The 13914-nt window shown below is 39.3% G+C and overlaps 1 protein-coding gene across 2 annotated transcripts in view; it reads right to left on the reverse strand.

Moving 5' to 3' along the window:
• The window catches only part of MPP4 (MAGUK p55 scaffold protein 4), a 53771-nt gene that overhangs the window by 13027 nt on the left and 26830 nt on the right, over positions 1–13914 (reverse strand). The window contains exons 12-16 of one of the 2 annotated variants that reach the window (NM_033066.3): positions 11833–11850; positions 8434–8472; positions 6181–6201; positions 2432–2446; positions 577–618 (exon numbers count right to left, since the gene is read on the reverse strand). In NM_033066.3, the coding sequence (NP_149055.2) occupies positions 577–618; positions 2432–2446; positions 6181–6201; positions 8434–8472; positions 11833–11850 (135 nt within the window). The remainder of the gene's footprint in view (positions 1–576; positions 619–2431; positions 2447–6180; positions 6202–8433; positions 8473–11832; positions 11851–13914) is intronic. The other variant, NM_001438024.1, reaches the window with a different exon arrangement.

A 13914-nucleotide genomic window follows, 5' to 3' on the forward strand; every position in this document is an offset into this window, starting at 1 on the left:
TAATAGCTTTTAGGCTGAATGATTCTGAAAGCAATACAGAAAGGTGGCCCCTTGTTTTTTTTTTTTTTGTTTTTTTTTTTTCACGCTCCCCTGATGATTCCAAAATGCATCCAGCTTGGGAACCAACCTTCTAGACCCTGCGGCTCTGCTAGTTTTCCCCTGCCTCCCTATAGAAGGAAGCCCAGAGCGGTTTTACATGAGTGGTACCTGGTCCTTCACAAAGCTCTGCCCAGGTGACAGATGATAGAAATGTGGCCATAAGAAGTAAGTTTAAAAGTCAGAGACTTTGTCTCTTTAGCATAAGATAAATAGGTTACGAAACAGTCTGGAAGAAAACAAAAAGATTTGTGTTTGATGAGTAATTAATAGATAACCCAGTGGAAATTAGATGAATAACAATGAATAATTAATGGATCAGAATATTGACAAGAAAAAAGGACAGAAAGAAAAGGAAACTAGAATGAGGAACAGGTCTGGAAATGTTCATTAGCAAAAGAAACTTTCAAAACAGTGTCAGGTTTGGAAACATAATTTAACAAGTGACAGAGACCCACCTCTTGTTAATTTATCACCTACCTATAAAGAACTTCTGACCGTAGCCAACAAACTCCTCCTTGTCTGAAACACAAAGAACAGATGGAGCAGAATATGTGAGAGCGAGAAGTTTATTCAGAATAAATTCATGAAATCATTTTCAACTTTTCAAGTGACCACCTTAGTAGACGGCAGCAGAGTTGAATTTATCCTTGAGTGGCTCACCGAATGTTCTAAGCATTTTTCATCCTATTATTCACACACAACAAACTATAGGGACGCACTTCACAGAATTTGAGCGTTACACTGAATGTATTCTGTCTAGTATGGTTAAAGCCAAAACGAGTTTATTAATTTTTTAAGATAAGTTTCCTTAGGATATGTTTAAAAATACATACCCAGTTCTTATGTTTTTACTATGATTCAGTATCATATAACTTTAAATAAGCATAAAGTAGCTTTTTGTTCTTCTCCCTCCCTGCCTACCCCCCTGCTGTTGTTGCTCACTCTGGAGTGCAATGGCACGATCTCGGCCACTGCAACCTCCACCTCCTGGGTTCAAGTGATTCTCCTGCCTCAGCCTCCCGAGTTGCTGGGATTCCAGGCACGCACCACCATGCCCGGCTAATTTTTGTATTTTTAGTAGAGATGGAGTTTCACCATGTTGGTCAGGCTGGTCTTGAACTCCTGACCTCAGGTGATCCACCCACCTCAGCCTCCCAAACTGCTGGGATTACAGGGATTACGCCCGGCCTTGTTCTTGACCATACTGTGTTTATAATTTTTTTTTTCTGCAAGTCCTGTAATTAATCTCTTTGCTAGATATGGGTTTTTATTTTCTCCCTCTTAAAAGGGTTCATTCTATATAAGATAAGATTTGCTCTGTGGCTGCCAAATGTTTCTGACTGGCCAGGACTCTGAGAGACAAAATGAGGAAAACTGTGCCCACTGCCTCTGAAGCATCTAGAGATAGTTCAAACTCCTGTTTCTCCTTTCATTGAGATCTCAGGAAAAAACTCCAGAAAAAAAGTTATTAAGAAAATTATTTTCAAATTACTTTTTACTTAAGTTCCTTCTCAAATATACAGCTCTGCTCTGATCATTGAAATAATATATAGCCAGGTGCAGTGGCTCATGCCTGTAATCCTAGCACTTTGGGAGGCCGAGGGTGGCAGATCACTTGAGGTCAGGAGTTCGAGACCAGCCTACCCAACATGGTGAAACCCCGCCTTTACTAAAAATACAAAAAATTAGCCAGGTGTGGTGGCTTGTGCCTGTAGTCCCAGCTACTTGGGAGGCTGAGGCAGGAGAATCACTTGAACTTGGGAGATGGAGGTTGCAGTAAGCTGAGATCATACCACTGCACTCCAGTCTGGGCAACAGAGAGAGACTTCGTCTCAAATATAAACATATATATAAAATATAAAGAGCATTTGTTAATAGAATGAACTGACATATGCAACCTTTTTTCTTAACCTTTTTTTTTTAAGTGTTTTAAAATACATAGAAAGAAAACACACCAATATCAATTCCATCTTCTGGTAAGTAAGTATATTTTCTCACTTAGATATGTCAGTAAGTTTAAAAGGAAATGTTTTCTTGGGGATACATTCATAAAGCTTAATTATTTTTATTGTTCTTTTAAATGTTGTCTATGAAACTGAATATTTAATCATTGATTTCACCCACAAAATGTCATATCCTTGGAGAACCTCACAAACTTAGTTTGGAAGTGTGTTTCCTCGGGAAAAAATGTAAATATGAGGGGAAAACCATAAACAACAACAAATTCCGTATCTTCATCTTAAACATTATCCAGTCAAGTATTCATTTTTGAGGCACTGAAAGATCTTAAACATAGTTCTATTTGGTATATCTAGGAAATAAAAACAATTACCTTCTGAAAGTTCCTCTGGATATTTGGGTAAGTGCAGAAACAGACATGAAAAAGTTAAGCCTTTAAGAAGATCATGTTAGCCATCAAATCAAGGCAAATGACATAAGCAAGACGTGCACGTCACCACTAGCAAAAGGTAACTCGGGTAAGGCCTGGCAAGGCAAATGATCACCACATGATTGGGACTGAGAAACTGGTTTGCCCTGACTCTGCTGCTTGGGACAGTAACTTTTTCTGAAAGTTGCCTATCAAGACTCTCCCTGAAGGCTTTTTAACTCAGGAAGACTCTACTTGGTTGGCACAAAATAGGGCTTCAAAGGGAGAAGTTAAAGGAAAGCAACAGGTTTGAGCCTTCTCCCTCCTCTCTCCCCGAGGCAGTATTGCAGCAGCTCTGTGAAGGGGAGGAAGTGGTAGAAATGGTGCTGCTGCTGGGTGCTGCAGCAGCCTCTGGCCCAAGCGAGGGTCCTCATTCCTTCCCCTTCCTGGGTCTCACACACTTCCATCCCCAGCTGCCCCATGAAGACAGAGGAAACCAAATACAAAGCAAACTGTTTTCTTTGTTTTCTAGATATCACAAAATAGCCATATTCTGTTTTTTGGTTTGTTTTGAGATGCAGTCCCCTCTGTCACCCAGGCTGGAGTGCAATGGTGCTATCTTGGCTCACTGCAATCTCTGTCTCCCAAGTTCAAGCAATTCTCTTGCCTCAACCTCCTGAGTAGCTGGGATTATAGGCATGAGCCACCACGCCTGGCTAATTTTTGTATTTTTAGTAGAGACGGGGTTTCATCATGTTGGCCAGGCTGGTCTCGAACTCCTGACCTCAAGTGATCTGCCTGCCTCGGCCTCCCAAAGTGCTGGGATTAGAGGCGTGAGCCACCATATCCAGCCTTTTTTTTTTTTTTAATGACGCTTCTGATTAAATAAACCATACAATCACCTCGTCACCTCCTGGGGAAATTCAAGGAAGTCATACTATACTTTATTCAGACTACAGACCGAAACTGAAGAACCTTAACTGCTCACTAAGCAGTCTAAGTAACAGAATTAAGCATCATGGAATGAATGCCAAGGGTTCTATGCTTAGAAAATATGCCAGCTGGGTGCTAACTGTTCCTTAATTGAGCTCCTCAGAGAGCTGGGTTCAGAACGTATCGATGCTTGAGAGTTCTCACTTTTCCAGCTGAGAGGAGTCCACAAGGGGCGTTTTACAGTAGGCACCTCCCTCTGCAGTGCTGTTCTCAAAAGAACTGGCTGCTGACTCCCCCAAGGAACAAGATTTCACAATAATAATGCCCGCTAACACTTGTGTAGCACTTCCTGTGTACCAGGCACTGTTCTAAGCACTTTATTCATATAAATTATTGTTGCCATTTTAGAGGTGAGGAACCTGAAGGGCAGAGAGGTTAAGAGCCAGAGAACCCGCAGTTAGTGAGTAATGAACCCAGGGTTCAAACTGGCCAATCTGGCTGGAGTCGGTGGTCTCACCCACTGCTTCTCCTTCCACAGACCCGCAAACACTCCCCGGCCTCAACCTCAGCCTTCACATGTGGAGTGTTTTCCAGTGGGACAGAACAAAGAAGGATGAGAATAAGCTAGGGGAATTAAAAACTAAGCCAAATGGGCAAGTATAAATAATCAATTAAATTATTTCTAACAGGCCAACCATCTAACGGAAAATAGGAAATTTTGAAACAACATAAATGTAAATAATTTAGAAAAGTGGTTCACAACTCATCTGTCTCAATGCTTTCTTTTTTTATAACTAATATTTGTAGCCATCTCTCTACTTTTATGAAAGGAAATTAATAGATGGCATAATCTACCACACATGTAATTTTAAAAATCAATACAATGCTCCAGCTGTAACATTAAAAAACATTTTAAAAGAAGTAATTTATATTTTAAAATATATATATATTTTAAAAGTATATATATACAAGGCAGACGGATCACTTGAGATCAGGAGTTCGAGACTAGCCTGAGCAACATGGAAACCCGTCTCTACTAAAAATACAAAAATTAGCTGGGTGTTGTGGTGCACACCTGTAATCCCAGCTACTCAGGAGGCTGAGGCACAAGAATCACTTGAGCCTGGGGGATGGAGATTGCAGTGAGCCCAGATCACACCACTGCACTCCAGCCTGGGTGACAGAGTGAGACTCTGTCTCAAAAAAAAAAAAAAAAAAAAGTATATATATCAAAATATAAATCCTTGGGCATAACATATTTGGAAGACCTAAGAAACTACTAGATGCTTATATTAATATTTACTTATAACGAAGCATGGATTCAAGAGAAGTAAGAAAATCAGAAAATATTCCTTATATGAAGTACAGAAAAATAGAAAAGAAACAGGTGGACACTAGAATAAAAAGTGTTTTGGTAAGTAATAAAAGGCTAGATTTATTTGTATGTGATAAGAGAAAGAAGAAAATTGCCTTAATTGGGGTAAAGATAATATGCCAAAGCAATTAGAGACCAATGAAATGGGAGAAAATGAGGAAAAATAATATACTTGGAATTGGATAAGTCATGTTAACATGCCCCAGCAGGTTTGCAGTTTAAAAATAAAATTCTGTGGGGCCTATTTTGTTTTTAATGATGTCAACATTATTTTGAGGGACAGACACTTGATACCATATGTCATCAATAATAACAAATAATATATTAAAGAAAAAGAAAATTAATTCAGTATAGATATACTTTCCAGTTTATTTACTAGCAATATCGAATAAACAGGATACGTGGAATAAATCATTCAATAATTGCAAGGCAATGCCTGCATTCTGTTTGAATGTCTCTCTCTGTAATGACTGTCTTCTAAACCACTGTGCTTCTCATGCTAAATCTTATGAAAACTTTTTGTGTGTTGAAAAATGACGCTTTTATATTTGTAACGAGTTTTGTCCAGCAGGACATTCAGAAGATACGTGGGTCAAGAGACACCAGTTAAAGGCCAGGAGTATCCGCAATCAATGTGACAATAAAAAAATGCTCCCAAAAAGTTCCAAAATGCTACATCAGGGACAGTACTAGCCCTGTGAGAAGTACTGGCTAAGGTAAAATCTACATCTCACAACTGCACTGTTGCTGTATTTTTTAAAATACATTTTACTGGGACCAGGTGTGGTGGCTCACTTTGGGAGGTCAAGGTGGGAGAACCACTCGAGGCCTGGAGTTGGAGACAAGCCTGAGCAACACAGTGAGACCCTGTATCTACAAAAAATTGAAAAATTAGCCACGCATGGTGGCATGGGACTGTAGTCCCAGCTACTTGGGAGGCTAAAGTGGGAGGATCACCTGAGCCAAGGAAGTCAAGGCTGCAGTGAGCTATGATCATACCACTTGCACCTCACCTTGGGCAACAGACTGAGACCTTGTCTCAAAATAAATAAATAAATTAGCCAGGTGTAATGGCATATGCCTGTAGTTCCAGCTGTTTGGAAGGCTGAGGTGGGAGGATCACTTGAGCTCAGGAATTCGAGGCTGCAATGAGCCATGATCACACCACTGCACTCCAGCCTGAGTGACAGAGAGACCTTGTCTCAAAAAAATTAAAAATTAAAATTAAAAATAAATTTTATAATGTATATTTGAGGTTGACAACATGATGTGGGATACACGCAGTTACTTTTTAATTTTTTAATGTTGATATATTTAAACAGTTATTATAAATATGTGTATAAATTGCATCAAAATTTAGAATATACATTTAAAAATCAGTACCAAATACTCATTTTTTACTTACCAGATTCAAATGTTTCTTCATCTATGATTTTTCATGGAGGCAAAAATCAAAAATGTTATTACATGACCATCTACACTGAGTCTATATTTTAAGTCTAATTCTCTGGCCCCTACTTCTGCCCATACACCACCTTTGTAAAGTTTTTTTCCTAAATCAAGGTCGAATCGATGGTGTCTCTATGGCATATATCAGCTTTACATGAAACACATGGTATTCGGCAGTTGAGCCATGATGACAGTCAGGGGTGCAGCAGGAGCTCAAAATAAATAAAATAATAGAAGGTGAATAAAATAAAATGTAAAAAGCAGCTCAGAGGGAAGGGGAAAGTGGAATGTCAGGGAAATCCCTAGAGACTGTTGGATACTGCTCGGCTTTGCTGCAGAGGGCTTGCCGATGTAGGAGGGGTGCACCCTGCCTGAAGAGTTGCGGACCCACAAACGGGGGTGATGACGAGGAGAGTGAGCATATGAATGACTTGATTACGTAGGCTTGATCAGGTGGCTGAGAAGGATGTGAGATAAACCAACTTCCGCATTAGTTAAAACAACTCTTGTTAGCATTTTAAAGAGAGATTAAGGATTAAGAAACATACATGGAGGGTAATTTGAAATACATGGCAACATTACCAATGCATGCGTCCTTGGATCAGGCAATGCTGCATCTAAGGTATTCTCATGCATGTAAAATGATATAGTTATAAGGCAATTCATTGTAGCACTGTTTATAATAGAAACAAATGGACATAACACAATGCCTACAAATAAATGATTGTATAAGTATACAATAACCAATAAGCTGTTAAAAAAATAAAACAAGGCTCTTTATGTGCTAAGATAGAGTCACCTCCAAGATACAGAATGTTAAGTTGGAAAAGCCAGGAACAGAACAGTGTGCATATCTTGCTATCAAAGAGTATGTGCATTTGGATTTGGAAAAAAAGATGGGGGTGATGAAGGGGGAAGGAGAAATACATACATCATTGCTTTTTTTTTTTTTTTTTTTTGAGACGGAGTCTCGCTCTGTCGCCCAGGCTGGAGTGCAGTGGCGCAATCTCGGCTCACTGCAAGCTCTGCCTCCCGGGTTCACGCCATTCTCCTGCCTCAGCCTCCTGAGTAGCTGGGATTACAGGCGCCCGCCACCACGCCTGGCTAATTTTTTTTTCTATTTTTTTAGTAGAGGCAGGGTTTCACTGTGTTAGGCAGGATGGTCTGCATCTGCTGACCTCGTGATCCGCCCACCTCGGCCTCCCAAAGTGCTGGGATTACAGGCATGAGCCACCACGCCCGGCCACATCATTGCTTTTATGTGCACAGAATATGTCTGGGGTGATACTGAAGAAACTATTAAAATTTATTGCCCCAAGAAAGAAAAATGAGTAGGAGAACATGGAAAGAGAGGAACTTCTTACTGAATATACCTTTGTAGTTATTAAATTTTGAACTATGTGAATTGTTACCTAATAAAAATATAATGGAAATTGTAGAAAAGAAATGAATATTACTGCAAGTTTAAAAAAATGTATACTTGGTAAAATAAACATAATGTCAGCAGTATTCTGCTGTTGCTCTGGAAAATATATGTGAATCATTGAAATGCCCACTGTTTTAAAATTTTACATTGTTCTCTCACTTCTAAAAACTAGACTAGCCTGTAAAGCAAAGACAGATTCACCTGTCAGACTAAGGTTCTCCAACTGGTCTCCTAACAAAATCCTAGTGATTCTTAAGCCAATCTTAGTTCTGCCACTAAATTTGAAAAATCTTTTCCCAATTTACAAAAAAATTAAAGAGTAGAAATGTAAAAAACTTTCATGCATGTCTCATCATTTTGGAACCTACTACTATTTATCTATACTAGAATCCACCAGAAGATGGCATCAAACTTAATAATAAAATATATATATTGCTCTTTAAAAATTTGATACTGCAATATTTTATGGTATTTCACAAAGAGCAGAGGTTTCCAAGTGTTCTACCATCGGATATGCTGAGAGTTACTAAGTGTTCTTGAGATCATTTACAAAGCACTGCTTTCTAGAACATTTTCTAGTAGATCAGTGGGAACCTGGAGACATTACCACAGCTTCTCCTTCCAAGTGCCAGAACTACAGAAGATAGATGGGGGTGGAGGGTCATTTTACACATTTCTAGAGGAAAGGCCCATGGCCCCTTTGGACACCTCTGCTTCAGATAATCTATAATTGACATGCTTCATATTTCTTCTAACAGCAAAGCAATCAAGAGAAAATGTTACCTGCTTCCACACATTTCTCATCAATCTTCATGTCATCTTCTATAAAAGAGTATAGAAAGGGAGAAACAGAATTTAAAATGTGTCTGCATTAAAAAGAAAATTCCCGGCCAGGCATGGTGGCTCATGCCTGTGATCCCAGCACTCTGGGAGGCCGAGGCGGGCGGATCACCTGAGATCAAGAGTTCGAGACCAACTTGACCGACATGGTGAAACCATGTCTCTACCAAAAAAAACAAAAATTAGTCGGGTGTGGTAGCACATGCCTATATAATCCCAGCTACGTGGGAGGCTGAGGCAGGAGAATCGTTTGAACCCGGGAGGCAGAGGTTGCAGTGAGTCGAGATAGTGCCATTGCACTCCAGCCTGGGCAACAAGAGCGAAACTCCATCTAAAAATAAAAATAAAAATAAATAAAAATAAATAAAAATAAAAAAAATTCCCTATGTATGTCAATAAAACTCACAAAATACAAATAAAATTAGGTATGTCAATAAAACTCAGTCCACCTTATGATAAATTTACAACTATTGCTTACTTGGAGAGATAAAAAGGGCTCTCCTATATTAAATGAAAATGTATGATGTGGGAGGCTATATAACATAAAATGGTTAAAAATTAAAAACCATAGGCTTTTGAATGCTGCACAAATTAGTTGACCTCTAAGCCTCTGTTCTCCATGTGAAAATGGGGAGAGTAACAGTACCTACCATATAGGCTAGGATTGAGAAAATGCACGAAAAGCTCAGGCATATGGTAAGTACTCAATAAATGTGAATTATCTTTACCTTTAGCTGAAGTATATATAAGAGAATAAAGGAACATAACTTTAAAAACTACTTATCCTAATTCTCAAAACTCTCTACAGCATGATCTAAACCCAGCTTGGAAGGTTGTCATCTGCTTCTCTCCTTCACGCATCTTACGCTACCATTAGAGTGGACATCACAGCCTTTGCTTACACTGTTCCCTGTGCCTGTCATGCTTCTAGGTCCATCCCAAACACTGATCAGAATGAATACCCCCTTGCAGAGCATTTTCTTCCTACTACCTTGAACTGTCTGCTACTGCACATCTATTCTACATCTATAACCATTCGGGGGTTTGCCTTCTTTGTTCTCCTAGACAGCTTCTTGAAGACAGGGACTGCCTCACTAGTTTTTACAGACTCTTAGTACAGTATTTTGCACATAGTGGGCAAATGATAAATTATTTCTTAAATTGAGTTTTCTTTTAAATATCAAAATTGTTGATTTGAATAAAGGTTCTGAATTTTTTCTTTCAGCACTTTACATCTTGTTTCTAGCAGTGCCCAGCACATCCCAGGTGCTCAACAAATACGGATTTAATAAATGAAGCTTATACATGTTCCAAAAGTACATAGTCTGTAAAAGTGTAGTCCAAAGTATAGTCTGTAGAATAAGCTACACTATAAGGTAACCTTTATAACACTATAAGGTGTTATCGCCACCCCTTAAAAACCACATCACTCATTAATGTTTTTAAGTGAAATATGAAAAATTTTATGAAATAACACTGTCTCATACAGGTAGGGACACAGATAAACGAGTGGCATGGTTGAGATTTTCTGCACTGTCATTTGTTTACTTATATTCATTTAGAGATTATTTTCCTAATTAATTAGATTAATTTAATTTCCTAGTTAAATAATTAGATTGTTATTAGCCATCCATAACAACAGTGAGTTCATTAGTTCCCAGTACATAACAAAGTTGTTTTTCTTTAGGGCAAACAAAGACTACAATTTTCATTTTTATTTTACAGAGGAAGGTACAAAAAACCAGGCATGATTATCTAGTAACAGCATGAGAAGCTCTGACTTTTCTGACGCTTGACTCTGGGATCTAAGATAGGGCCACTGATTTTGTTCTCCCCAAATCAATGATTCCACATTATCAGCTAGGATAATGTACTGAATTGTGTTCCCCCCAGTATTCATATGTTGAAGCCCTTGCCCTCAGTATGGCTGTATTTAGAGAGAGGGCCTTTAAGGAGGTAATTAAGGTTAAATGAGGTCATACTGCTGGGGCCTTAATTTGATAGAACTGGTGGCCTTATAAGAAGAAAAAACACATCAGATCAATCGATCTCTCTCTCTTTCTCTTCTCTTCTCTTCTCTTCTCTTCCTCTCTCTCTCTCTCTCTTCTTTCTCTCTCCCTCTCCCTCTCCCTCTAAGGATGCACAGAGGCAACACCACATAAGCACACAGCAAAGAAGGTGGCTGTCTGCAAGCCAGGAAGAGGCCTTACCAGAAACCAACCCTGCTGGAACCTTAATCTTAGACTTCCAGCCTCCAGAACTGTGAGAAAATAAATATCTGTTGTTTAAGCCACTTAGTCTGTGGTATCTTGTTACGGAAGCTCAAGCTAAGACCATGGCCTTATCACCCACCACTACCGTACAGTTCCCAGCTCCTCCCTCCCACCAAGGGCTATGCCCAGGTTGCCCTTCACAACTCTTAACAGTGCAGCCTGTAACATGACCCTGAGTAGACAAACCAGAAGCAGGCACCCTGGACTTGCCCCTCTCTCCCTCACCTTCTTCTCTTGCCCTCCTGTGTCATACACCTTTTTTGTTTTGGGGGGACACAGATTGGAGCCTTGTTCCCATAGATCAGCCTTCAAAAGTCATCTTGCAGTTCTCTGTTTTCCCTTTCCAAATTCAAGGATGAACTGTGGTTGGTGGCTAAGGGGACACCTCTTTTTTCCTCTTTCTGGAAGCAGAAAGCATCTTGCTTTGTGTGTGTGTGTGTGTGTGTGTGTGTGTGTGTGAGAGAGAGAGAGAGAGAGCACCATCATAATGAGTCATCCAGATGGTTGGGCATGGAGAAGGGGAAAGGATAGTAACTGAAGGTCCCATTTGTTCCCTAATGCAGGGCCTTTTAGACAGAGGGAATCTTGAATCCAGATTACACTGTTTTCAACTGCTGACAACTGTTCTTACCTTCTCTCAGTGTCAATCTTTTCATCCATAACATGGGAATAATAATAATAATTTTCACTATAGTTTTATTGTTAGGTAATATGTATAAAGCAGTTGAAACAAAACATCTCATCAGTTTCACAGCTTTTATTGAGTTCTTGCCATACGCTATGTTAAACTCTGGAGCTGCATATAAATGTTGCTTCTCTTTTCTTTATTCCTCTCAGTGTTAGGACAATTATACTTTGCATGCATATCTTTGAATGACATATTTTTATAAATCAATGACTATCACACTACTAGGTATATAGGAAGAGCTTAATAATGACTATCACACTACTAGGTATATAGGAAGAGCTTAATAAATAGCTGAACTGAATTAAAGTGAATTCTTTAAACTACAAGAAATTTCTAAAAGACTTTGGAGATAAGAGTTTTTTCCTAAATACTATTTCTTACCTTCTTCCATAGAAATTGCTGAGTACAAGCAAATGATTGAAGCAGGGGGGATAAAAAGAACACAGTATCTGTACTATATTTTCTCAGATTAATTTACAATAAGAAATGTAATGTGCAAAAATTATTGTAATTAGTATTCTGGGTTTATTCTCTAGAAATTCAGGGAAGATTTAGTAAGAAAATGATAAATGAATACTTTATAAAACTGATACATTTGTGAGCCTTGTTGGAAATGGAAATCTACTTGCTTCTGGTAAATCCCGCCTTCTTCCATCCCAGCTAGTTCTACAAGGGTAGCATTCTATGAATTTCTGAATTAACATGCTTACTTCAGCATATTTTAGGAACCCAAATTTTCAATGAAAGGAAGGGAAGAAGACAGAGAGATGGAGAGAGGGAGGGAGGAAGGGAAAGAAAGAGGGAAGACAACTATAAGTGCACCTTCAGTAAATAACATTTTAATAATCATCTGCAAACTAACATCAATAACATTTCATTAATAAAATTGCCCTATATCTTTGGACTCAGTAGCCTGCCCCTAATTTTTTTGGGGGGAGGAGGGTATGATAAGACTTAAGCAGAGCAGAAACATACAAAATAATATTAATTGAAGGATCATCTATAATAGTTGAAAATAAATGATCTTTCTAGTAGTTTAAAAAATAATCATGTCTACCGGAAACATTCCCTAAGAGAGGGGACCCTTTAAGTCAGTGGCTCCAAACCTGAGGCTCGTGGACTTAGATATTTGTGAGGATAATAATAGAATATTGAAAACTATTTTCAGCATGGACTTCTAGAAAGTCTAATATAAATCACACAGGCCACATAAGCAAATTAAATGAAAACCAGAAGTTATACTACAGGTAATTATCAGATGCTGATTAGAAACTGTAATTAGCATTTTCATGTGCCTTTGATAAATGAAAGTTTGTTTTAAAAAAAAAATTTTCAAAACGTGGAAGAAGTAACTAAAATATCACTACAAAGATTGTGTCATGAAAAATGTTTCTGATAAGATGTTAAGTGGCTGGCAAGATGGCTGAATAGGAATAGCTCTGGTCTGCAGCTCCCAGCAAGATCAATGCAGAAGGCAGGTGATTTCTGCATTTCCAACTAAGGTACCCAGCTCATCTCACTGGGACTGGCTAGATAGTGGGTGCAGCCCACAAAGGGTAAACCAAAGCAGGGTGGGGTGTTGCCTCACCTGGGAAGTGAAAGGGGTCGGGGAACTCCCTCCCCTAGCCAAGGAAAGCTGTGAGGGACTTTGCAGTGAGGAAGGGTGCACTCCAGCCCAGATATTACCCTTTTCCCATGTTCTTCGCAACCCACAGACCAGGAGATTCCCTTGGGTGCCTACACCACCAGGGCCGTGGGTTTCAAGCACAAAACTGGGCGGCCGTTTGGGCAGACACTGAGCTAGCTGGAGGAGTTTGTTTGTTTTTTTTCATACCCCAGTGGCGCCTGGAATACCAGCAAGACAGAACCGTTTGCTCCCCTGGAAAAGGGGCTGAAGCCAGGGAGCCAAGTGGTTTTGCTCAGCAGATCCCACCCCCACGGAGCCTAGCAAGCTAAGATCCACTGGCTTGAAATTCTCGCTGCCAGCACAGCAGTCTGAAGTTGACCTGGGACACTCCAGCTTTGACAGGATAAAATTCACACATAACAATATTAACCTTAAATGTAAATGGGCTAAATACCCCAATTAAAAGACACAGACTGCAAATTGGATAAAGAGTCAGGACCCATCGGTGTGCTGTATTCAGGAGACCCATCTCACATGCAAAGACACACATAGCCTCAAAATAAAGGGATGGAGGAATATTTACCAAGCAAATGGAAAGCAAAAAAAAGCAGGGGTTCCAATCCTAGTCTCTAATAAAACAGACTTTAAACTAACAAAGATCAAAAAAGACAAAGAAGGGCATTGCAAAGTGGTAAAGGGATCAACACAACAAGAAGAGCTAACTATTCTAAATATATATGCACCGAATAGAGAAGCACCCAGATTCATAAAGCAAGTTCTTAGAGACCTACAAAGAGACTTAGACTCCCACACAATAATAGGGGAAGCCTTTAACA

Source organism: Homo sapiens, chromosome 2 (genome assembly GCF_000001405.40).
Source record: "Homo sapiens chromosome 2, GRCh38.p14 Primary Assembly".
NCBI lineage: Eukaryota > Metazoa > Chordata > Mammalia > Primates > Hominidae > Homo > Homo sapiens.